A 26,258-nucleotide genomic window follows, 5' to 3' on the forward strand; every position below is an offset into this window, starting at 1 on the left:
AGAAAAAAGCAGGGGTTACTGTTCTAATTTCAGACAAAACAGACTTTAAACAAACAGTGATGAAAAAAGATGACAAAGAAGGACATTACATAATGGTAAAGGGTTCAGTTCAACAAGAAGACCTAACTACCCTAAATATATATATGAACCCACCACAGAAGCAAACAGATTCATAAAATAAGTTCTTAAAGACCTATGAAGAAACTTAGATAACCACATACAAGCAGTGGGAAGTTTAAACATCCCATTGACAGTACTAGACAGATCACTGAGGCAGAAAACTGACAAAGATATTTGGGACCTGCACTCAACACTTGATCAATGAACCTAACAGACTTTTACACAACTTGCCACCCCAAAACAATAGAATATACATTATTCTCATCTGCACATGGCACATACTGTAAATTGGCCACATGATCAGCCATAAAACAATTCTCAGCAAATTTAAAAAAACTGAACCACACTCTTAGACCACAGTGCAGTAACAATAGAAATAAATACTAAAAAGAACTCTCAAAACCATAGAGTTACATAGAAATTAAGCAACCTGTTTCCTGAATGACTTTTGGGTAAACAATAAAATTAAGTCAGAAATTAAGAAATTCTTTGAAACTATTGAGAACAAAGATACAATATAACAGAATCTCTGAGACAGGGCTAAAGCATGCTAAGAGAAAAGTTTATAGCACTAAATGCCCCCATATAAAAGTTAGAAAGATCTCAAATTAACAACCTATCCTTACGGCTAGAAGAAATAGAAAAACAAGAGCAAACCAACCCCAAGGTTAGCAGAAGAAAAGAAATAACCAAAATTACACCTGAACTGAATGAAATTGGGACATGACAAGCAATACAAAAAGATCAAGGAATCCAGGAGTTGGTTTTTTGAAAGAATAAATAAGATTATTTAAAGAATAAATAAGATTATAAATAAGAACAAATAAGATTATTTGAAAGAATAAATAAGACCACAGCTAGACTAACAAAGAAAAAAAGAGAGAACATCCCAATAAACACAATTGGAAATGACAAAGGGACATTACCCCAGAGAAATACAAAAAATCCTCAGACTATTATGAACACCTCTATGCAAACAAATTAGAATAACTACAAGAAATGGGTAAATTTCTGGAAACGTACAACCTCCCAAGATTGAACCAGGAAGAAATTAAAATCCTGAACAGACAAATAATGAATTCTGAAATTGAATCAGTAATAAAAAGGTTACCAACTAGAAAAAGCCCAGGACCAGAATGATTCACAGCCAAATTCTGCCAGATATATAACGAAGACCTGGTAGCATTCCTACTGAAAATATTCCAAAAAATTGAAGAGGAAGAACTCCCCAAGTCATTCTATGAGGATAGCATCATCCTGATACCCAAACCTGGCAGAGACACAATAAAAAAGAAAAAGGCCAATATCCTTGATGAACACTGATGCAAAAATCCTCAGCAAAATACTAGCAAATGGAATTCAGCAGCACATGAAAAAGCTAATCCATCACGATCAAGTAGACTTTATCCCTGGCATGCAAAGTTGGTTCAACATATGTACCAATAATTGTGATTCATCACATAATTAGAACTAAACCCCAAAACCATATAATAATCTCGATACAGAAATGGCTTTTAATAAAATTCAGCATAACTTCATGTTAAAAGCCTTCAACAAATAGGCATGAAGGAATATATCTTAAAATAATGTCGTTTATGACAAACCCATAGCCAACATCACACTGAACAGGCAAAAGCTGGAAGTATTACCCTTGAAAACCAGAGCAAGTCGAGGATGCCCTCTTTCAACACTCCTATTCAACATAATACTGGAAGTTCTAGCCAGAACAATCAGGCAGGAGAAAGAAAGAAAAGGCATCCAAGTAGGAAGAGAGGAAGTCAAACAATCTCTGTCTGTAGATGATATGATTCTACACCTAGAAAACCCCATAGTCTCTGCCCAAAAGCTCCTAGATATAAAAAACTACAGAAAATTTTCAGGATACAAAATCAATGTACCAAAATCAGTAGCATTTCTATACACCAACAAGTCCAAGCTGTGAGCCAAATCAAGAACAAGATTCCATATACAACAGCCACAAAAAGAAAATACCCTAGGAATACAGCTAACCAGGGAAGTGAAGGATCTCTACAATGAGAATTACAAAACACTGCTGAAAGAAATCAGATATGACACAAAGGGAAAAACATTTCATGCTACAGTATCTTGGCATCACTATAAATGCATAACAGCCTTGAAATCAGAAATATACTGGTTGTATGATCTTGGGTAATTTACAATCTCTTGTCATCTTTTTTTTTTTTTTTTTTTTTTCTGGAGAGATGGGTTCTCACTCTGTCTGTCACCCAGGCTGGAGTGCGGTGGTGTGATCATGGCTCACTGCAGTCTCCAACTCCCCAGCTCAAGTGATCCTCCCACCTCAGCCTCCCAAGTAGCTGGGACTACAGACATGTCATGTCTGGTTAATTTTTTGTAGGGACGGGGTCTCCCTATGTTGCCCAGGCTGGTCTTGAACTCCTGGGCTCAAGTGATCCTCCTGCCTTGGCCTCCCAAATCTCATCAGCTTTTATTGGGCATAGTACTATCTGTTTTTCTTCATATTCACAGCTAGGGAAAGCAGAATCACATTTGAGGACAGACACCCAAATATGAGTTGACTGGATAAGTTTATTAGAAATTATGGCCTGCTTTTTGTACTAACAAAAATAAGACTTCTTACTGGTTTATATTCCAGTGTCTTACATATAAATGATCAGCTCAGTTTAAAAAATTTTTATGCTTTACTTATTTCAATAAGCTTCTTAAAATCCTTTTCGGAATGAGGTAGATATAAGTACATACATAAACACACATATATACATATCTTGCTATTATGGGAATTAAGTGAGATGTTTGTACAACTTATAGCAAAAGCTATGGTATTTAAAACTTATTAGAAGTCTGTACTGCTGTTATATTGCTAGGCTTTGCTTTCAAAATAGTGAAAAATTTTGATGGATTTAGAAGTTCCATTTTCACCTTGGTTTTTTAGAATGTCTGTTTGATTATATATTAATAATGGACACAGTGTGGTATTGTAAAAAGAACTGGGCAATCTAAGTTCTCTGTTTTTCATTTGCTACTTTTTTTTTTTTTTTTGACAGAATCTCACCGCCCAGGATGGAGTGCAGTGGTGCGATCTGGGTTCACTGCAACCTCCGCCTCCCGAGTAGCTGGGACTACCGACGTGAGTCACTGTGTCCGTCTAGTTTTTTTATTTTTTGGAAGAGATGGGGTTTCACCATGGTGGCCAGAATGGTCTAAAACTCCTGATCTCAAGTGGTCCGCCAGCCTCAGCCTTCCAAAGTGCTGGGATTACAGGCATGAGACATCGCACCTGACCCTGATACATCATATTGAGTAAATTTCTTGTCATTTCATCTCTCTGCTCGATTCCAAACCTATAAAGTGACGTAGGGAGTGAGGATCTTAGATGATCTAAGGGCTTTAACAGTTTCTTTTTTTTTTTTTTTTTTTTGAGACGGAGTCTCGCTCTGTAGCCCAGGCGGGAGTGCAGTGGCGCAATCTCGACTCACGGCAACCTCCGCCTCCCGGGTTCAAGCGATTCTCCTGCCTCAGTCTCCCGAGCAGCTGGGACTACGGGCGCGTGCCACCACGTCTGGCTAATTTTTTGTATTTTTAGTAGAGACGGGTTTCACCGTGTTAGCCAGGATGGTTTTGATCTCCTGACCTCGTGATCCGCCCACCTTGGCCTCCCAAAGTACTGGGATTACAGGTGTGAGCCACTGCGCCTGGCCAGGCTTTAACAGTTTTAAGTCTATGATTCTATTATCTGAGGGGCATACCAAGAAATAGGCTGAAAGAATAGCAATACGTACTTCTTGGGAACTTCATTTCTTAAATACCATGTATGTGCATATGTATCACTTAATATAAACAACTTGTCTTTCCTTGGTGTGTCCATACACAATACTATGGGTTTATGCTTTTGGAGCAATGTTGTGCAACAGTGACATCTAGTGACTACATATCACAGATCATTCAGCAAAACTTTATGGCCAACTTGTACTCTTCTAAATGTGGATGATTTACTTTGTAGCCCAGCTAAATACTTTTAAATAATTCCTCACCTCTCTCCTCTAAAGAAAGGTATGCCAATTAAATTTGACAACAGCATTAATAATTGGCTAAATAAGAACTGAAATTTCCTTTAAAAATCATAATGTATATGGAATTCAGTATAAATTATTCTAAATGAGACTGCAGCTCTTTTCCTTCCACTGAGAGTGGCAAAGCTGGGATTTTCAATTCCAGTGTGTTTAAATATAGTCTATTCTCTTATCTACTATGCATTGCTGACATGTAGTAGGCATTTAACACATACTTATTCAATTAATGTTAGGTAAAACATATGCATCAACAGTTGTGAGTATGTATTGCTTTGGAATCTTTGGAACTATTGCTGCCTTTCAAACAAAGAACTCTTCTTGAGGTCAGATAAAAGATTAACACAATTATAAACAACCACAGTATACATCTTTCTGAACAAATGAATTTGAGACCTACATGCATGCATAACAGAATACTCTTTATAAAAGGCATTCAAACTAGGTCAGTATTTTTTTTAAGATAATGACTACCTAGTATTATTATTTAATCAGGACAATACAAATCTGGGCTAAACTTCTACTACTATAATTCAAATTGACTGTCATTGTTAAAATTCCTAATAGTATTTAGGATTTGATCTCATTAGTCAGATAGTACCTTGATTTTAAACCGTTTTCGGGTGCCTAGATCTTGTTGCCACAATAAAGTGACACGGTGTCTGTCTTAGGTCATTTTGTATGCTGTAACAGAATACCACAGATTGGATAATTTATAATGAAAAAAATTTCTTTCTCATAGTTCTGGAGGCTGAGAAGTTCAAGATCAAGGCACCCCAGCATCTTGAGAGGGCCTTCTTGTTCCATTCTCTGGAGGGGAGGGAGTCTATGTCCTCCTCACATGGCAGAAGGTATAAGGGTAAGGGACGCAAATGGGTGGCAGAACTTGTCCTTTTATAATGAAATTAACCTCACCCATGTGGGCACAGCCCTCAAGGCCTAATAACCTCTTAAAGGTCCCACCTCTTGATACTGTTACAATCAACATGAGTTTTGGAGGGGACAAACATTCAAACCATAGTAGTGTCTTAGTCTATTTGTGTTGCTTTAACAAAATCCTCAAGATTGGGTAATTTATAAATAACAAAAATTTATTTTGTCACAGTTCTGGAGGCTGGAAAATCCAAGATCAAAGTGCTGACAGATTTGGCATCTGGTAAAAGCTCAGATCTCTGCTTCCAAAATGGTGCCTTGAATGCTGCATCTTCTGGAGGAAATAAATGCTGTATCTTTACATGTTGGAAGAGACAGAAGGGCGAAAAGGGGCTAGCTAGCTCCCTCCACTTATTTTATAAGGGCATTAATCCATTTATGAGGGCAGAGCCCTCATGACCTAGTCACCTCCTAAAGGCCCCAGCTCTTAATACTGTTGCATTGGGGATTAAGTTTCAACATGAAATTGGAGGGACACAAACATTCAAACCATAGCATTTTGCCCCTTCCCCCACAACAAATTCATGTCTTTCTCACATATAAAACACACTTGTTCCATCCCAGTAGCTCCAAAAGTCTTAACTGTTTCCGATACCAACTCAAAAGTCCAGAGTCCAGAGTCTCATCTAAATCAGATATGGGTGAGACTCAAGGTTTGATTCATCCTGAGGCAAATTGCTCTCCAGCTGTAAGCCTATGATATCAAGCAAGTTATATCATTCTAAAATACAATAGTGGGACAGACAGAGGAAAGATAGATATTCCCTTTTCAAAAGGGAGGAAATAGAAAAGGAGAAAGGGGTAATAAGTTCCAAGTAAGTCCCAAACCCAGCAAGGCAAACAACATTAAATCTTGAGACTTGAGAATAATCTTCTTTGACTCCATGTCCTGCCTTCTGCATACAATGGGGAAGGGGTTGAGCCCCCATGTCTCCTGGGAGCCTTGCCTGCATGGCTTTAGGGGGAGCAGACCATGCACCAGTTCTCACATGTTGGCATCACATGCCTGTCGCTCTCCCAGGCAGGAATTGCACACTGGTATCTCTAGTGGCCTACAGTCTTGGTGGTGGCTCTGCCCCCATAGCTCCACTAGGCATTGCTCTTATGGGGGCTCTCTGCGGTATCCCTGACTCCACAGCTCTTGTAGGCACTGCCCTAGTGGTGACTCTCTGTGCTGACCTCACACCTCTGGCAGTTCTGTGCCTGGGCCCCAAGGTTCTCTGTGACCTCCTTTGAAATCTATGCGGAGATAGCCATGACTACAGACTTAGCACCACATGGGCACCACCAAGGTTTACTGTTTATACTCTCTGACACTGCACCTGGGCCTGCTTGAGCCACAGCTGGTGTGGCTAAGGAATGCTGAGCCACATGTGTGGAGCAGAAAGTTGACGTGGCCCTAGGCAGCAAGCCCTGAGTTCCCATGGACACCCTGGGCCCCTCCCTTGAAACTGTTCTGCCCTGAAGGCCCTGGCACTCTGAGCCTGTGATAAGAGTGGTAGCCTCAAAGATCTCTGAAATACCTTCAGGGCCACTCCTCCACTGACTTGATGAATAACATCTGGCTTCCTTCCATCCATACTAATCTGCTTATCAAACATGCACTTGGCCATATTCTTGGTATTCTCTCCTGAACTCAGTCTTTACAACCTGGTTAGGCTGAAAAATTTCCAATTCTTTAAGTTCTGCTTCCTTTTTGATTATAAATTCCATCTTGAATTAATTTTTCTCTTTTTGTCCAGTATCATAAACAGTCAAGAGAAGCATGTAGCACCCTCAGCATTTTGTTTAGGTATTTCTTCCCCTAAATATCCTATTTCATTGCTCACAGGTTCTGCCTTTCACAAAGCATTAGGACACAGGTGGAATTCAGCCAAGTTCTTTGCTACTTTATAACAAGGATGACCTTTCCTCCAGTTTCTAGTAAGACATTCTTTATTTCCACTGAAGAACTCATCAGAATGGTCTTTACTCTCCACATTTCTACCAGCCTTCTGATCATGATTAACTTAGATAATCTCTAAGAACATGAAGGCTCTTTATACAGCTCTCCTCGTCTTCTGAACCTTCATCAGAATTGCCCTTAATGCTCTGTTCATGGTAATCTAGACTTTTTCTAGGAGGCACTTCACAACTGTTCTAGCTTTTATTCACTACTAGCTACAAAGCTGCTTTTACAATAATAGGCATTTGTTATAGGAACACTCCACTTCTTAGTAACAATTTCTTAGCCCATTCCTGCTGCTATGCCAAAATACTTGAGACTGAGTAATCTATAAATAACAGAAACCTACTTTCTCACAATTCTGGAGGCTGGGAAATCCAAGATTAAGGTTCAGTCAGGTTCAGTGTCTGGTGAGGTCTCTGCTTCCAAAAGGGTGCCTTGAACATTGTATTCTCTGAAGGGAATGAACATTGTGTCCTCACATGGTGGAAGGCATGTAAAGGCAAAAAAGTCCTAGCTAGCTGTCCCCAGGCCTCTTGTAAGGACTTTTATAATACATTCATGAGGGCAGATCCCTCATGACCTAACCATTTCCTAAAGGCCTCACCTCTTAATATTGTTGCATTGGAGATTAAGTTTCAGCATGAATTTTGGAAGAGACATAAACAGTCAAACCATAGCATAAACCATTCCAGGCATGTTTTATATTCTTTTCTTTCTCTTAGCACCAAACACAATGGTTTTTCTCAACTATAGACAAAGCTACCAAAAACTTACCCAGAATCCAAGGTTTGCTATACATGGAATCAAACTGTCTCACCAGCTTTCTTTCTGGTTCTTTCTTTTGACCCAACATTTCAGTCAAACTGTTAACTGCACTCCATGCCTTTATTTGGTTGGAACATCTTCCCACTGAACCTCTTTGTAAATATCCATTGATTATTCTAAATAAAGCTTCCTGCAATGCACACTACATAAACTGGATGTGTTTTTCCCCTTTTGAATTCTCACATCATTTTGTTATTTGCTCTACCATCCTTACCTCTCTGGTGTCCTTTCTTTGTCTTTGTTAGTGGTTTCTTTCCCCTATTCATCCTTTAAATATTGGGCTTCCTCAGAATTCTTCTCTATGCCCTATTCTCTTCTCACTCTATATACATTTCTCAACATCTATTCTACTATTATGGCTACAATTCTAACTAATATGCTGAGGAATTTGAACTAGAAAAGCTCTCAAGATTCTATTTAGTATATCTAATTACTTATTGAATATCTCTACTTGTCTTACAAGCATCTTAAGTTAGTATATGCACAAACTCAAGATCTTTCCCCACCAAAGTTATTCCTTCTCTGGATAATTTCCTATCTCAGAGAATGAAGCCACCATCGACCTAGTTGCTCAAAACAGAAACTGAGAAGTCATTCTTTCTCGCTGCTTTTCTTTATCTGCTAAAATCAAGTGAATTACTAAATCATGTTAAGACAAGTTACTGAATGTTTAAAAATTTTATTCATTTCTTTCCAGATAAATTGTCACTAGTCCAGTCCAGGCCATAAGCATTTCCCCACCTAAACACCGTAATGGCTTTCCAACTTTTCCCCACATCCAGTCTTGTTCCTCCTCAATGTAATTTTCACAATGCAGAACAATATTCTTAAATGTAAGCTTGATTATGGCAACAACCTTCTTAATATTCCTCAATGACTTCCCATAGAAGAAAAATGTTAAAACTCCTTACATTCAGCTTATAGGGTCCTTTGAATAAGGCTCTAACCTTGACCCTGCCTACCTTCTCATTCATCACTTGACACTCTAAACTTTAGCCATACTAAATTTTTGTTCTTCAAACTTGCCATGTCTCACATCTCCAAAACTTTATGCATTCTGTACGCTGCCTTCCAACACCAACACTCTTGCTTTTCATCCAGCTAACGCTTCATCAATTTAGAAGTCATTTCTTCCAGAAGATTTCCTGACGCTACCTTCAACATGCATCCTTATCATGGCATCCAATGCTTATCACAGCATCCACCCCACTATTTTAATCCTTGTTTAACTGTCATCATTTTTAAATTTGACAAATATTCATTGAGAGCCCATTATATTACAGATACTGTATTCTCCTCTGTATACAGAATGTGGTAAATATAGAGTATTGTAGAAGCACGTTTAGGATGTGAGAGAAGTCCAAGAAATGCTTTTTAGTGACTTGTGTTCCCATCTATTTCCCTACTAAATTAAACCAGAGACAGTTTCATAATCATTTCTGAGTTATTTGAATTGCCTAACATAGTATATAGTAGATAAATATTTTATACCATCAATTATTGGATTTTAAATACATACTAAATATTCTTTGCATTGTAAGAGGCCACCAGCCAGCCAATACTTTCTACCCAGCAACTTTTTCTTTGATATCACTTTGCATACAATAGAGTGTAAAAAGCAAAGAGACAAACTAATATAGTGGAAAATATGGGACTTAGAGTCAGAACACTGTGATTAATAATTCTGCCACTTACTAGGTATATGTCCTTCGTCAAGACCCTTAACCTCTCTGAGTCTCAATTTCCTCATCTGAAAAAGGCCATTAGGAGAATGAAATGAGATAAAGAGAAAATAAAAGCATAAAATGTAAGAGGTTATCCAAAATGATGTCTATTATTATTATTGTTATTAAAGTCAATGCAGATCAAGTCTCCTTATGACTGGTTATCCCAGCTCTGTAAGGCTACAAGATTTTCAAAGTTCATTCTTCATCTTCCCTTTACCATCCAAGAGATAATCTTTTGTACTTTAATAAACACATATTGATGGAAATGGTTAAAAATCACAAAGAAAAACAAGCCCAAAATTGAATAAGTATACATTAATGTATGAAAGGGACAAGACAAAAGTACCAGCCTATGACAGTTTATAATTTGAATGTATGGACCAAAAAAAAAAAAAAAAAAATCAGGCCACAATTTTTTTTAATGTTGACCAGAAGGGTAGGTAGGTGGCACAAAAGAGTAATGCTGTGAACTGTTTCACAGTAAAATGGTAACCCATTGACCTAGAAAGTCAAGATATCTGGGCTCAAATACTAATTTAGCTACTAATTCAACCACTAATACCCAGGTGGTCTACCCACCCAACACTCTAGTCTTTCAGTTCCTTGATCTCCTTAGCTCCTATTGTCTTTTTCTTTCACTGTATCTCAGCCACTCACTCACAGGGCCACAAATCTCAAATGGCCACTCAACTTTGCCCAGCTGTGCTATTATTCTGATTGCTTTCCATCCTCCAAATGACTATTTTGTATCTTATCTTCTCCCCTTAAACCTCCTACCCAAATATTCCTCCTCACTCTTTACTAATCTTGCGTCATACCTTATCTTCATTGAGAAAAAGTATCAGTATCAGGCCGAAGGTCTCACCTCTGACCACTGAATCTACCCATCTATCTGCATCTCTACCCATACTTGCTGTCTTTCTTCTTACCAGAAATTATACGTTCATGTGGTTGGGTGCGGTGGCTCACACCTGTAATCCCAGCACTGTGGGAGGCCGAGGCAGGTGAATCACCTGAGGTCAGGAGTTCAAGACCAGCCTGGCCATGGTAAAACCCTATCTCTACCAAAAATACAAAAAATTAGCCAGGCATGGTGTGTTGGTGTGCGCCTGTAATCCCAGCTACTCAGGAAGCTGAGGCAGGAGAATCGCTTGAACCCGGGAGGCAGAGGTTGCAGTGAGCTGAGATTGCTCCATTGCACTGTAGCCTGGACAACAAGAGCCAAACTCTGTCTCAAAAAAAAAAAAAAAAAAAGGAAAGTATATGTTTATATGTTCATGTTCCTACCTAAGGCCAATACTTCTATATATTCCCTGGATTCCATACCCTCTCATTTTCTCAAAGACTTCACTCCTAAAATATACACACTCTCTCTTATACCATCATTTCCACCCCCCTCTATTGGATTATTCTCAGTCTAAATATGCTTAAGTGTCCTTATCTTTAAGAACCCTTCTTTGACCATACATATTTCTCTATTACCTCCATTTCTTGGCTCTCTTTCATAGTAAAACATCTTGAGATGTCTATAGTACTACGTCAATTTCTGCCCAGCCAGCAGTACTATGTCAATTTCTTGACACCACATTTTCTCTTTATTGTACTAGTCAAGGCATATAACTACTTAATGTTTCCAAAACCCAATGCACAGATCTCTTTATTTTATTTGACTTCTAAGCATGATTCAGTACTGTTGGCCATGTTTTGTAGTCTTGGCTTTTTTTTTTTTTTTTTTTAATTGAGATGGGGTTTCTCCATGTTGGTCAGGCTGGTCTGGAACTCCCGTCCTCAGGTGATCCACCCACCTTAGCCTCCCAAAGTACTGGGATTACAGGCATGAGCCACCATGCCCGGCCAGTCTCGGCTTTTATGTCACTGCACTCTTCAGATTTTCTTCCTACTTCATTGGCTATTCTTCCATCTCTTTTGTTGGCTTCTTTTCCTCTGCTTTACACTAGTCACTGCAATGTTATCGGTGAGCACACTTGCCCTAGGTAGTTTTCCATATGCTGGTGACTCCCAACTTTGCATCTTTGGTTCCTTGCACTCTGCACAGAGCTGAAGCCTCAAATTACCTTTGATTTCTAATAAGAATGTAAAAATTAAGGTAAGCAAAATAAAACTCCCCCCTCCCACCGCCCTGGCTGCTCCTTTTTCTTCCTTAGTCTTTTCCATTTGGTAAATGGCACAATCATCCACACAAGCTCAAGACAAAAATTTAGGGGCTAGAGGTGACTCCTTTTTCATCACCTCTATATTCAAAACATCACAAAATCTGTAGGCTCTGCCCCCAAAATAGAGCTCACATACATCTACTTCTCTGCTATTTTATCCCAAACTTGTCATTCCTCTTTGGATTTCTGCAATTATCTTCTGCTATAGATCTTGCTCCCCACCCAGTATGATTCAGTCATCACATAATAGGCAGAACAAACCTTTTTACAATGTAAATCAGATCCTATCACTCCCTCCAACTCACTACTGGTTTCTCTTTACACTTTAAATAAATTCCAAACTTATTCCATGGGTAGATTTCCATGGCCTATTCAAAGCCTTACATGATTTGGCCCCTACCTATCCCTCCAAGCTCATCCTGTACCACTTTCTCTACATTTTAGCTTCAGTGGTCTTGATGATGTTCCTGGAAGGAGCCAAGTTCTTTCCTTCCTTAGGGCTCTTGCAATTGGAGTTGCCTTTACCTGTAGTGCGCTGATCCCAAATATTTCCATGGTTGGTTTTTAAAAATATCACTAAGCAATCAATCTAAACTAACCCCTCCCCCAGTCTTAAGGAAGACCTTTACAGTTTTACTTCTTCACTGTGCTTACTATTATCCAAAATTCCTTGCTCATATAGTTTACCTATTTTCTATCTTACACTCACTAGAATTTAAACTTCATAAGAACAGCGATCTTGCTAGTCTTTCTTACCATTGTATTCACAATGCCTAAAACAACGCCTGACAAAGTAGGATATTCTTTAAAAAATACTTAATGAATGCCTTTCCCTAAGCAAGTCACTTGACTTCTCTACTTAACTCACACTGGTGAGTTTACTACTGCTAGACTAAGCTCTGGATCCAGGAAAAACAAAAGTGGCTAAGGTATGGCTTCTTCAGAAGCTCATCCATTCATTCCCTCAAAAAATATTTATTGAACATATATTACACTATGTTCCAGGTACTATTCAATCTCAGTGTTTAGTAAACACCACAGTAACATGGGATTTGGTTAACCAACAGAAGTGTTTAAACAGGATGAGTACAAAAATAAGTACAAAATGAGAAGTACTATAAAAACGATACTTTATATGTTACAACTATAGCACCCACCTATTTCCTTGTGTCTAGTAATTGGCAGGACCTTATGACAAGAGCCAACTGAAAAACAGCAGTATAAATTCTGGTACTCTAAAAGCCCAGACTTCACCACTGTGCAATATATCCACACAACAAAACTGAACTTGTACTAACTAAATCTGTATAGAATTTTAAAAAGTAAGTTAAAAAAAATTCTGGTACTCACAGGGGACAATACCTATGAATGCCCTTTTCATAGGCACACAGTGACTAAAATATTTGGGGCATGAATTCTCTAGGGGTGACAATAATAAGTGTCATTTTTCATGCTTCTGTTGCACACATAATTATATTTATCTCTAAGGAAAATCAGAGAGTGGGGTGTGGCCTCCCTCAGTGCCACCTGGGCCAGTTGTCTCCCCACATCACCAAATCTGTTATTTCACAGGCTCTAGGACACCCATAGAGGGGGAGTGAGGGACCTGGTATGGTCCCGTGAAGAGCTCTTGTAACACTACTGATTGATGTGACAGACACAGTATGTGTGCAACTTTCCTTTTTCCTTCAAAAGCACTGGTCTAAAGCAGGGATCCCCAACCCCTGGGCAGCAGACAGGTACAGGTTTGTGGCCTATTAGGAACAGGCCACACAGCAGGTGAGCAGGGCTAGAGGATTATGCCTGAGCTCCAGCTCCTGTCAGATGAGCAAAGGCATTAGATTCTCATAGGAGCACAGACCTGATTATGAACTGCGCATGTGAGGGATCTAAATTGCGCCTTCTCAAGAGAATCTAATGCCTGATGATCTGAGATAGAAGAGTGTCATCCCATCTTGCCCCCCACCCCAAACTGTCTTCCATGAAACTGATCCCTGGTGCCAAAAAGGTTGGGGACTGCTGGAAGTGCTTGTCCCCTGGGTTAAAGCCAAGAGGAGTAAACAGGATTAAGGGGCGTGGATGTGGGTGGGTGGGGGAAGAGAGCTTTCTCAGGATCGGCAACCAATCCCAGAATCTCCAGTCGCAGGAGCATGTATGTGAAGGTTTATTTGCAGGGATCCACCGTTTGTAAAATAGTACACGCTTAATAAAATTAATTTTGAGGTCAATCTTAACTGACAGATCTCTTCTTTCTTACTGGCGAGTATTTGTAAAATAAGAAAAACAGGAGGAAAAGAGAACAAACAAGAGAGATGTGGGATGACGGAGTAAGGAAAGGAGTCACGGAGAGGAGAGACAATGTCTGTGGCTGTTCCCTCAGCGTCTGGGAGAAGAGCCCAAGAATCCCATTGAACTGAGGGGGAGGAAAGGCCCTCCTGCGGCCTACCGCAAGGAAACGATCGCGGCAGACCCGGGACTAGCGCCAAAGGGCTTGGAAGGGCGGCGTTAAGAAAAATGGGCCGTACCTACAACTTCTTTCGCAGCCCTCGCTGGCCCGGGAGCGGCCCAGGAGCCCAGTGACCGTTGCGTAAGCCACGCGCCACCCAGGTGGGCAGGGTGGTGACGCGAAAGCCCGGATAGACTTCCGCGCAGGGGCGGGGCGGGGCGAGGAGGCGGCAGCGCGTTTAAGTGACGTCTTGGCTGTCCGCGCCGGCAGAGGCGAGGGTTCTGGGGTTTCTGGGACTGTCTGGTGTGTTTTCTGTCTATTGAACCCTTTCCTTTCGACGTCTCTTCTGAATATTGACTCATCGGGTTGTAGAAATCCAGGGACAGAGTTGACATCACTGGGCATTTTAGCCAAAAAGCAGTGCTCGGGACTGCATGTGCCAGAAGTAAACTTGTCAAAACTCAGATTGTGTTTCCCCTAAAGTCAGCTTAAAGTGCAATGGTAGAAGAGCACGGTCTCTCCCCAAGACGGCCTGAGCTTAAACTGCAGCGCTGTCACTTGCTAGCTATGGGACCTAGGCAAATACATCGTCTCCCTGAGGTTGTCTTCTCATCTGTAAAGGACGCTGTGGTGGTGGTGTGAGAATAAATGAGACATGGCAAGTGTCTGGAACAAAGACGCTGTGTACAAAGTAAACACTTAATATACTGTTATCAGTATAAAACCTTTGTGAGTTTTTTTTTTTTTTCCGCATGAAATCTTATGTGGAAAGTTGTATGTGAAAGAAATGAAAGCGGAGCTGCGTTGATGGTGGGCCCAGAAGCTTTGGCCTTTCAGTCCCAAAGTTTCCAGTAATAGAATCCGCGCTTCCTATAAAAGACAAAAACAACTGTTATTGGAGAAAGTGTAAACTTCTTAGAAAGACAAACTGCCCTTTCCTATCTAATGTTTCTCCTGACACTCAATGTTTACTCTTGAACACTGTATTCCTTTTTGCCTCAGTGCGTTCTGTAAAGTTAATTCCTCTACCGGAGTGTTCTTTTTCTTAGTCATCATCTAAGATCTGATCCAAATTACCGTTCCTTCTTGGGTAACTTAAATACGAAATTATCTTTTTATTGGTTTTGTTGACGTTGTTGAGACAGGGTCTCACTCTATTACCCCGGCTGGAGTGCAGTGCGATCTAGGCTCCCTGCAGCCTCCTCCTCCTTGGTTCAAGCGATCCTCCTGCCTCCTGAGTAGCTGGGACTACAGGTGGGCACCACTACCCCCGGCTAATTTTTGTATTTTTAGTAGAGAGGAGTTTCACATATTGCCCAGGAGGACTTGAACTCCTGGACTTAAGTGATCTGCCCGTCTTGGCTTCCCACAGTACTGGGATTACAAGCGTGAGCCACCACAGCCCTGCCCTTTTTATTGTTTTTAACACCTTCCCTCCTTCAACGTGTTATAGACATCTCAGCAAGGATTTATTTTTCTTCCTCGTTTCAGGAGAGTAGACAGGGTTTCATGATTATAGGGTTAAGGAAATGTTTTGTACTCATGAAAAGGAAATGTTTTGTACTCACAGGAAAAGCAGGTAGATCCCTAAAGATAATGGGAGTTGGGACAAATGGTAAACCTGGGAAGGAAGACCTTTGCTAGGAGTCTGTTTGCCTCCAAGGCACTACTCTTATGCTCTAGAAGGAATGGGCTCCTGGAGAGGTAAGTGCTTTAGGGTCCATGTAAGGAAGATGGAGCGCACATCAACAAATGGAGTTTTGGAATTCTCACCAGGCCAGAGGGCTCAGGCTGGATTTGAGTCAGTCAACTATAAATATAATATTACGTACTCCCCAAATGCCATGAAGCAATTCCCACTTGTTACAGAGAGGTACATAAATGATTCATATAAAAATATAATGTTCTGAGACATTAAAAAAATACAGTGGTTCTTTGGGAGACAATATAATGAAAATTTACTAATAAAAAACATTTAAACAATCATCTGATAACCTTTCTTATAAAAATTAAGTTTTAAAAATAAGTAAATTGATTATATTTGCAACAAAGTCATGGAAAGCAAAAGCTTTTGAGGAATAAGGAGAATCTTAACTGAGAGCAATTTTTTAAAACTATACATGACATGATAAAAAAAGTTTTAACACTTTCTACATAGTTTCATACTTCTGAAAGTACTTCAATAAAAATATTTAGCCAATGATCTATTTAGTATGATTTCAGTGCCAACTTTCTTTTCTAGTCTTATCTCTAATTCTCTTCATCAATCTCAAGTGCCAATCACTTTCTATGCTCCAGGCTTTACTGTTTTCAAAACTTTGCTAATATGCCAGCCTCCCACACTAGTTGTTCCCATCTTCACCTTACTCCCTAATATTACCCCATCCATCCAGATCCTCTCCATTCTTGAAGGTCTAGTTCAAGTATCAGTTCCTCTAAGATTTCCTCAACTTCTACACTAAAAACACTTTTGAATTATTCACTTGGATTATAGCTATTTGTACATATCTTATTTCCTTCTAAGGTTCTTAAAGGCAAGTATCATGTCTTATTCATATTTGTATTCCTCACATTGTCAATTTTCCACTAGAATCAAGTTCTATTGAAAACCAAGCCCTTGAATATCTTGTTCATCACTGTATTCCCTAGTATCTAGCACAAGACCTGGCACACAGTAGGCATGTTATAATATATTCTGAGTGAGGGAGTAAATGGATTTTAAAACAAGCTCCATGAAGGCAGGGATTTGTCTGTTTTATTCATTGCAAAATGAATATCTGAATATAAACATGAAGGCTTAGCATTCATTATATACAAAAAAATTCTTCAATCTACATAGCATCATAAAAGCCAAATATGAAATACTTATGTTGCCTTTCACCCAACAAATTCAGTTGATGATATATCTTTCTGAAAATAATACATCCCCCAAAACTGCAGTACAATTTTAAAGAAAAATAAAATACATGTTTATATTAGTTTCAGTTTTCTTGTTTGTATTTTTCTGTGTTCTAAATTTTTTGCAATGAAAATGTGTTACTTTATAATCAGAAAAAAATACTATTTTTAAAGAATGTAGTGGATGAGATCATTTGCAAATGTTTACCTGAGGAAATTTTGAGGACATCAAGATCAATCAAGGTGATTGGGAGTTAATACCAGACAGAAATATACTGTCCTTGGAAATATGACACTTCTTTCAGGGACTGAATTATGTCCTTCCCCACACATTCATATGTTGAAGCCTTAACTTCCAATGTGATGTATTTAGATATGAGGATTTGGGAAGGCAATTAGATTTGGATGAGGTCATGAGGGTAGGGCCCTCATGCTGTGATTAGAGTACCCTTATAAGAAGAGACACCAGAGAGCTTGCTTGCTCTCTCTCGGCATCAAGTGATGACACATGAGTGAGAGGGTGAGAATGTGGCCATTGGCAAGCCAGGGAGAGAGACTTCACCAGAGCCCAACAATGCTGGCATCCTGATCTCGAACTTCCAACCTTTAATAGAAGTAAGTTTCTGTTGTGTAAGCCACCCAGTGTATGGTATTTTGTTATAGCAGCCCAAGCTGACTAAGATAGACTAAGTGGACTAAGATCCGAACTGTCGTGTGGCAAGTAGTTTTCTGATATTGAGAGAGGATCCTCTTCCTCTCAGATTTAGTCAGTAAATGTTTATTAAATGTCTACTGTGTTCCATGCCCTGTGAAAAATGCTGAGGATTCAAGGATAATTAAGACAAGGTTCCTACCCATAGGGAGCTGATTTAATAAGAGACAAACATGTAAATAAAGTGAAAAAAAGTGTTACATGTGCTCTGACATAAGTATGTATAAGGGACCCAAAAGTTAGAGTAATTGTTTCTATCTGTGGTTTAAGAGGGGATAGGTTGAGTTGGTCAGTACTCTATCAGGTTAACCCTAAGTTCACCAACCAAGTCAAGAGATGTGGCTTTCAATGTGGTGACAAACCCCGGCCTTCACATGGTGAGCCCTGCTGAATGGTCAGCCTCTGTCATTCTTGACCTCACCATCTCCATGATATATAACAGCAACATAGTCTTATAGCAATTAATAAATTCCTACAAAGAGCTTCCAGGAATAGGCACAAATTTCAGAGATCCAATAGAGGAAGTCAAAAAGCCAGCACTGGGCAGTCACAGAGATTTAGATGGTGGCTACCCTCTTAGAGGTAGAAAAGAGTTTGCTGCATGACCTCAAAATGAAAACAGGTATTGGCAGTGGCTTCAGGTGCCCTTCAATCATTTCTGTACTCTGTGGACTTCCATTTCTAATTTTCCTAGGGGCCCTAAACATATTCAATAGCATTCTGATTTAGTTATACTAACTGTATTATGTATAAGTTAATAAATATTCCAAGCCTGTTACTTGGAGAAAATGCCACTGATGACCTGGGAAACAGCATGAAGTGTAACACTTTTTGGTCTTACATCCCTTTTGCTGGCTAAGTCCTAATCTTCCCTCAGCCAATGCCCTACTTTCTCTGGGAAGCTGTGCCTAAACTCCACCACCCTTGGATTGATTGAGTGCTCCTGCCATGAGCTCCCTAGCAGCCCTGTAGTTCCTGCATAATAGCACTTATCATATTGTTTTGCAATGTCTTGTTTAACTGTCTGTTTTCTCTATTGGACTGTTAAATCCTTAAGGACAGGGACAATATTATTCTTGATGATGTGCCTGGATCTCAAAAGCTTTCAGTAAGTATTTTTTGGATGCATCTACTTTTAGAGCCTGCAAAAATAGAGGACCAGATGATCATTAAGTTTATGGTGCTCCCAGCAAAGTGCACCTAACCAATGAAGTTCAGTTCAAAACACTTATCTGACCTTTGGTATAAATTAATCAAGTCCAAATCAAGAGCATAAACATTAAAGGAATACAGCACCATAGGGTAACCAAAGCAAAGTTGACATAAAATTGAAGGCTATTTAGAAGAAGTGAATATTAAACTAGTTTTGAATAGAGGTGAAAGCCATGGTGGATAGGGCTCGAACAGAAGTCTAATGAAGAGAGGAATGGACAGGCTTTATTTATGCAGATCAGCTTGGTGGGATTAGGATATTCATAATTCATTCATCTAATACATATTTAATATCTACTTCAAGATTAAAATGAACTTTGAATTCTAGGTCGAGGAGTTTAGATAGGATATGACAAGTATGTAATAAACACTTCAGGTACACAGATAACATGATAAAAACTGTAAACTGTATGTGAATGTGATTATTTCAGTAACTACACAGAAGATGACCTAGAGTGAAGAGGAACTTATGAGTGATACACAAAAGCAGAGATGGCCTGTTACAAAGTAGGATAAAATATGACCTATGCAGGTAAGTCTTTCTTCTAATATTTTCTCTGCTGGCAAGTCACAATTTCTGAAATCCCTGCCATAGAAGTCACTCTTTTGGTTTAAGGCAATGTCTTTCAAAAGCTTTTGTTTGCATGTAAGAATATGCTACTGAATGATGGTAACATCCAACACAGTGGAAGCTCTGGCCCCGAAAATCTGATGTTCCGTTCCTCCTAGGAGTGTGAATGCTTAGCTAGAGACAACACTTAGCTGCCTCACAGCCGGATATGATCAATACCAATAAATGTAGGAAAAGAGATGTGTCCAACTTCCACATCACTTCCTCAAAAATAAATTGCTATACTTGCATTTTCCTTGAGAGATAGAATGGAGATATGGTAGAGATCCATTTTTAACCCATTTATGCCTAGTGTTCCATTATTAGAATGCTAAGCCTGTGGGAGTTATTTATATCCCACTGCTCAAGGTCATTGCCAAGGTCTGATTTTTCACAAAAAATTTTTGCAACCTCTGGCATAAATAGGTTAAGCCATGTCCTAAGCTAGGGAATGGCAGAGCTTCAGGACAGAAAGACATGGGACTCTGAGCAGACCTCATAAGCAGAGTAACCCTGTTGGTATTAACGAACCAGCCAGTTTCATTAGACAGAAATAGAATTTTATTTTCTTTTAAGCACTGTATTTTTTATTTCTTCATTATAGCACATTACCCTAATGTAATATTCATAAGACTGGCATAGATTTGAAACTTACCTATCTCCCACCTAGAAATGGGAAGAGCCTAAAGATATGGGTCATAAGAAACAAAAAAAGGGCTGGATTAGGGCACTCCTTAGGGGAAGGTAGACTCACATGGGCCACTGAAATAAAGGAACCTGGGTGGTCAGCTAGGGGGCAGGATAAAGTTTTTTGACATCTGGAGGGGGCAAGAGGATGAACCAATGAAGATACTTCATGTACTTTAAAATTTTGGTGGGACCAATCAGTTACAGTAATTCAAAGAAAGGTAGTAAGGGAAGGAGAAATGGAGAAGAGGCAGATTATCAGGGTAAATGATGGTAAAAATTAATGAGAGACTGCATTATGATGTTTAACAACAAAAACAGATCCAAAAAAGAGAGCCAAAACCAATTCAAGGCATCAGAGCCTGGGCAAATATGAATCAGGAAACTGTGAAAGTTAAAAGTTAGGGCAATCCTAGCTGAAGAGGATACTGAAGCTGGTCTTTCCCACATTAACTGTAAACTGTGGTAGTACATTAAAGTAGATATGTCCTTATGCAAATTAAGATGGATGATGAAGGGGTGTTTGAAAAAAAAGGCAGAGAGATTAAGGTTGGTGATATAGATCATTACCACCCACATGGAAAGAGCAAGGGCTAAAAATGCTGTTTAAAGAAACAGCTACACTTTTGGTTCTATTACATTTTAAGCTTAAACATTACATATTTCAATATGCATCTTGAAAAAAGTAGCAGCTTTCTAAACATTATGTTCAGCACTCTCTCTTTTCACCTCTAAACTTGCACAGAAGTCTCTCCTTGAACTTCTTCATCTTTATTTTGATGTTCAACTTTCTGCAGAAGCCTGGGGCCCAGTAAACCAATAAGCAGACTTCCAATTGGGGCTGTGATGAGGATGGACAAAAATGCCACTGTCAACACATCCATTCCATAGTCTTCTAATTGTTTCTCTCCATGTGACCTTGCTGTGTCCAAAGCCACAGATCCTATTGCAGCCTATAAAAGTTTAAGGGTAAAAATGGAATCATGATAAGATAAGCACATATAAAAAAAGTGAGTTTTTTATTGTTTGCAAAAGCAAATTGCTTGTTCTTTTGCTCAACTAAGAAAGTTGTAAGCATCAGGAGATATACCTAATGCTAAATGACGAGTTAATGGGTGCAGCACACCAACATGGCACATGTATACATATATAACAAACCTGCACGTTGTGCACATGTACCCTAAAACTTAAAGTATAATAATAATAAAATAAAAAAAAAGAAAGTTGTTTTAGTATTCTTTCAAAGTGTATTGCAGGTTTTGTTTTGTTTTGTTTTTTTACTTTTTTAGAGACAGGGTCTCGCTGTGTTGCCCAGACTGGTCTTGAACTCCTGGCCTCAAGTGATCCTCCCTCCTTAGCCTCCCAAGTGCTGGGATTACAGGTGTAAGTCACTGTGCCCAGCCCAGCTGGTTCTGATGATCTAAAAACTCTGCCCTTGCATGGGAACATACTGATGACTCATTTGTACTTATCTGTGTAAGGTAGGGTTACATAAATATCAGTAAAATACATTTCAAAACACAAAGCAAATCCAGAATCACAATATTAATTAAATATAACATAAAGTTCTATGTACTAAATTTTTCCTGAATAAAGATGGAAATTACTGGTCATCTCCTTTTATCTTTAGGAATGTGGAACTAAAAAATAAGATGAAAAACATGCAGTGATACCTACTGAAAACTGTTAAATTTTAAATAAATATATATTACTTTAGAGCTTAAACTCATTGTCAAACGTCATGAAACATGAAAATAGTGGACACCTTGACAACTTGAAGTTGATCTTATTAGGTATTTGGTCAACTCCTTGCCACAGAATTTGGTGAAATGTTTTATTTGGAATGCATCTGTTGGAAAACATTATGAAAATTCTCAGTTTCTTTTAGAGGCAAAATGCAATATTATCAGTGCAGATGGGAAAAATGTATTAATTAATCTGGTTATCCCTTATTCCACAGAGAACAATGTAAGCCTCTAAGACAATGAAAAAGAAAAATGTGCATCAGAAACAATGGCAGAAACTACTAGTTGCTCACAAAAACATGAATGACCCCTTTCCCTTCTATAATAGAACTCCTGGAGTTTGGCTGGTCACATTGCTGTCCAGAGACCTTTTTATAGAACTCTTAGCCATTATGTTTTAGACATTTTTGAAAGTCTGATAGGGGTGAGGGGAATTCTGGAGTAATGCCCAAATGCAAAGAGCATAATTGAAATCTGGAATATAACTGCTGAGCATACACATCCCCCAAAGCCTCCTAAATGAAAAACACTTGATTTTAATTCCTTAATAACAGAAATTGGAATATTTAATTATAAAATAATCTGGGGCAAAACAGTTAAATGTTGTTTGATGTAATTAGTCTGAAAATATACAACCAAAGATACATCACATTTGCAACAAATCATAATCTATACAGTTCTAACTTAATTAGCAATCATAGATATTCTAACAAATGCATGGTCAACAAATTCAAGCACCTATCTATAATAGCTTTATTTATCACGTTTATTAGAATGCACAAATTTTCGGTTAAGTGATTGAGACATTTGCCAGGAAGTTCAGTGAGTTTTGAATAATTAATACCAACTAATAATCTAGGAAATCAATAAAGTGCTTTCTGAGTTGTTTTTCAATAAATCTTTTCTCCATTACATACAAAGACTCTGGTCAAGCTCAACTGATCATCAATCATATTAACATTAAAATATCTCCAAACATTAAGGGAACCATGTTATTTCTATTTTACTCTCTTCTTGGAAGCTATTAACATGAAAAGAGTTAAGAACTCTTTCCTTGGGTGACTTACAGAGTGCCGACTGATGAAAACTCTTCTCTCCTGTTACTACTGCTTTCTAGTAGAATAGGGATTTACTGGATTTTTACTTATACCCTGGTGATCTAAGGAAATTTAATGAGCTATCACATTTAAGGAATGAATATACCAAAAATACAGGTTTTAAAGAATAGATTAGGATAAACTCTTTTCATAAATCCACTTCAATTATTTATTTTCACTAAATTTAAACAAGCCCTCTTATTCAATATTTCAAGGTGTCATGCAGAAATAGCAGTTAAAATGCTAAGCCATCCTATCCATCATACCTGAACTGTGGCCTTTGGAAGCCATGCAAAAGAAATAAATATCTTTTCTTTTAAGTTAAAACCAGCAAAACACACCATCAGAAATGTAGTCAAAATTCGTATCAATACTGCAATGCCTACGGTGGCAACACAAAGGCCTGTAAGAAATATTCAATTTTTAGAAATAATAAAATACTAGGAGAGAAACTGCATCTCATGGTTACTAATTCAAAATAACCATCAACAGAAATAATTTTTAAAGCATTAAAAATTACAAATACAAAAATGTTTAGGAAGAATATATAAAAACAATCAATATTAAGGATCAATCAGGCTATTTGTTTAAAATAAGGTGTTTCTGTAGATTAAAACCAGAAATTAAGCATATTTGAATTCTTATGTAGAGATTTGAATGTTATATATGTCTTATGCTTTATAGCAAGAACCATGCTTGTTCATGTGTGTAAGAAGAATTTATTAAATGATATGATTAAATGATAAGTAATAAGCTTTAAACTAAGTACTGTGTACACATAAATGTACAATGTATAGACTTTGCCTCAAAGTCAGAGAAAGACACATAAACAACCAATTCATAGACTATACAGTAAGTGAGGTATAAACAAACTAAGGGCATAAAAGAGGGAAAAACAATATTTTAACCCAAAAAGTCAATAATTCTTTACAGGGTATAAGACCAGAAGTGATAGCTAAAATATTTATGAGCCAGTATGGAGGGAATTAGCCAATCAGAGCTGGCTGGGCACTGACCAATCAGAATAGACACTGGCAGTCTACCACTGTTTCACCATACTGATGTGTACTGGTCGTACTGGTCCCAATTATCCCTGGTTAACATACACAGCTACTCCATTTAGTCCTGTAGAATTCTTTGCTGATAAAGACAAGTTCATCATCATTTGCCAAACAAGGGATTGTGAGTAGTGCTGCTACATGCTACTGGACCTAAGAATGATACAGCTAAGGTGACTCCTGAGTATTAGGGTGATTTTTTAAAAAGTAACATTTGTTGAGTGTTTACTCTGTGCCAAATGCTGTACTAAGCTTTAAATGTATTATTTTACTTAGTCCTTACAACCCGTGGAGTAAGTATTATTTTATAGTTGAAAAAACCAGAAGCTCAGAAAGGATAAGTAGTTTTCTCAAATTCAAAGGGCGGGTAAAACATCAGACAGACATAGCGGGAGGATCTATTGTAAATCTGCCATATGGCTTTTTTATGGGAAAGTTTTGTGGTTCTTTGTTGAAAGGTATTTCTTCAAGGTTGGAAAGTATTCAAAAATATCTGTAGCCTGAAGTACAAGATAAAGAGTTGATATCATTCCCAGAAGGAAACATTGAAAGTTTGAGAAGAGGATGAGAAGGAAGTTTTAGTTGAGTTTGAACGTTAACAGGACATACAAGTGGTGCTGTCCAATCAACAATTGGATATATTGATTTAGAGATAAATAGTTTGGAATTATACAGTTTATAGTTGATGTCACTAGTATAGATAAGGTTAGAGAAGTTATATAGAGCCAGAGGCACAAAGTTAGAAAGCAATTTGATAAAGGGCAGCATTTAAGCTACATATGGTGTAAGGAAAGGCTCAAACAGCACTGGGAAATAGGAAGTTTAAGAACTTAATATAAAGGAGTGTTAGAGGGTCAAAAGCAGCAAATGCTGCTGACAGATCAAGTAAAGCAAAGACTGGATTTAGCAATATTACCTTGGTGAGAGGCTGGCAGGTTGTGTGAGAGGTTGGCAGGTTGTGTGATAGGCAGAAGCTGGGCTAAAATGTATAGAAGGAGGAAATGGGAACTGAAGTGGAAAGGGGAATGTAGTGACCTCTTTTGAAAAGTCCGAAAAGAAGACAAGAGAGGTAGCATGGTAGAGACGGGGGGAAGTGAAATAGAGGAATTTTATATATATATAATTTTAACATATTATTTTAATATACATTATTTTAATTGTAGTAAAATACACATAACATTTACCATCTTAACCATTTTTATGTGTATAGTTAGTATCATTAAGTATATTCACACTATTATGCAACCAATCTCCAGAATTTTTTCATCTCACAGAATTTAAACTCTATACCCATTAAACAACAATTTCCCTTTACTCCCAGCCCCTGGCAAGTACCATTTATGAGTCTGACTACTCTGGATACCTCATGTAAGTGGAATCATACAGGGTTAGTCTTTTTCTGACTGGCTTATTTCGCTTAGCATAATGTTCTCAAGGTTCATCCATGTTGCAGCATGTGTCAGAAGAGAAGCATTTTTTTTTAAGATAAGAGAGATTGGAGACTAAATTCTGAAGAGAAGAAAATTGCGACATGGATATTTAAGATGTATGAGAAAAGGAAAGAATCCATATGCAAGATTCAGAAGGAGTAGCGGGAGATGGGATTCCTAGTATGGATGGAAGAATACTGTGATGGAAGGAAAGAAGGAAATAATGAGTACATATATACAAATTAATTTTTAAGTGCAGTGTTTTGAATCAACAGAGTTTTAATATGATGGCTTTTGAATGTAGGAATAAATAAAATAATTAATGAACAACAAGGCATTTCTATCCCATGGGTACAAACTATAGAACTAACTAGTTGTCTTTAAAATTCTCGCTCTTGTTCAGGACAAGGCTAGATGAATATTCTTACCCTTGGAAAAAGAATTGTTAAGGCCTGAATTTTCTGGGTAGTGGTCAGCAGTGTCACTTTCATATACAAGGAACAATATTAAATGTGTAAAATATACCATCTTAGATGAACAAGCATTATTTTCTAACCAACTACTCTAAA

At 38.3% G+C, this 26,258-nt stretch overlaps 2 protein-coding genes across 16 annotated transcripts in view, besides 1 other annotated feature; both read right to left on the reverse strand.

Annotated features, from left to right (window-relative positions):
* The window catches only part of SLC9B1 (solute carrier family 9 member B1), a 134,657-nt gene extending 120,231 nt beyond the window's left edge, over positions 1-14,426 (reverse strand). For all 4 annotated transcript variants that reach the window (NR_047515.2, NR_047513.2, NM_001100874.3 and 1 more), the window contains exon 1: positions 14,320-14,426. The gene's annotated coding sequence lies outside the window, so the exon portion shown is untranslated. The remainder of the gene's footprint in view (positions 1-14,319) is intronic.
* The window catches only part of SLC9B2 (solute carrier family 9 member B2), a 59,291-nt gene continuing 45,782 nt past the window's right edge, over positions 12,750-26,258 (reverse strand). For 4 of the 12 annotated variants that reach the window (NM_001300754.2, NM_001370203.1, NM_001370200.1 and 1 more), the window contains 2 exons: positions 23,468-23,604; positions 16,974-21,312 (listed from right to left, as the gene is read on the reverse strand). In NM_001300754.2, the coding sequence (NP_001287683.1) occupies positions 21,091-21,312; positions 23,468-23,604 (359 nt within the window). In that variant the 3' untranslated portion in view covers positions 16,974-21,090. Of the gene's footprint in view, positions 15,111-16,973; positions 21,313-23,467; positions 23,605-26,258 lie in introns of those variants that run through there. The other 8 variants (NM_001370201.1, NM_001370204.1, NM_001370202.1 and 5 more) reach the window with 3 other exon arrangements.
* Positions 14,267-14,767: an enhancer, noted in NCBI's record as "H3K27ac hESC enhancer chr4:103940703-103941203 (GRCh37/hg19 assembly coordinates)". NCBI's record gives its function as "activates a minimal SCP1, AML or CMV promoter by ChIP-STARR-seq in naive H9 embryonic stem cells {active_cell/tissue: H9 hESC(naive)}" and the evidence as "EXISTENCE:reporter gene assay evidence [ECO:0000049][PMID:30033119]".

The sequence above is a fragment of the Homo sapiens genome, chromosome 4, assembly GCF_000001405.40.
Source record: "Homo sapiens chromosome 4, GRCh38.p14 Primary Assembly".
NCBI lineage: Eukaryota > Metazoa > Chordata > Mammalia > Primates > Hominidae > Homo > Homo sapiens.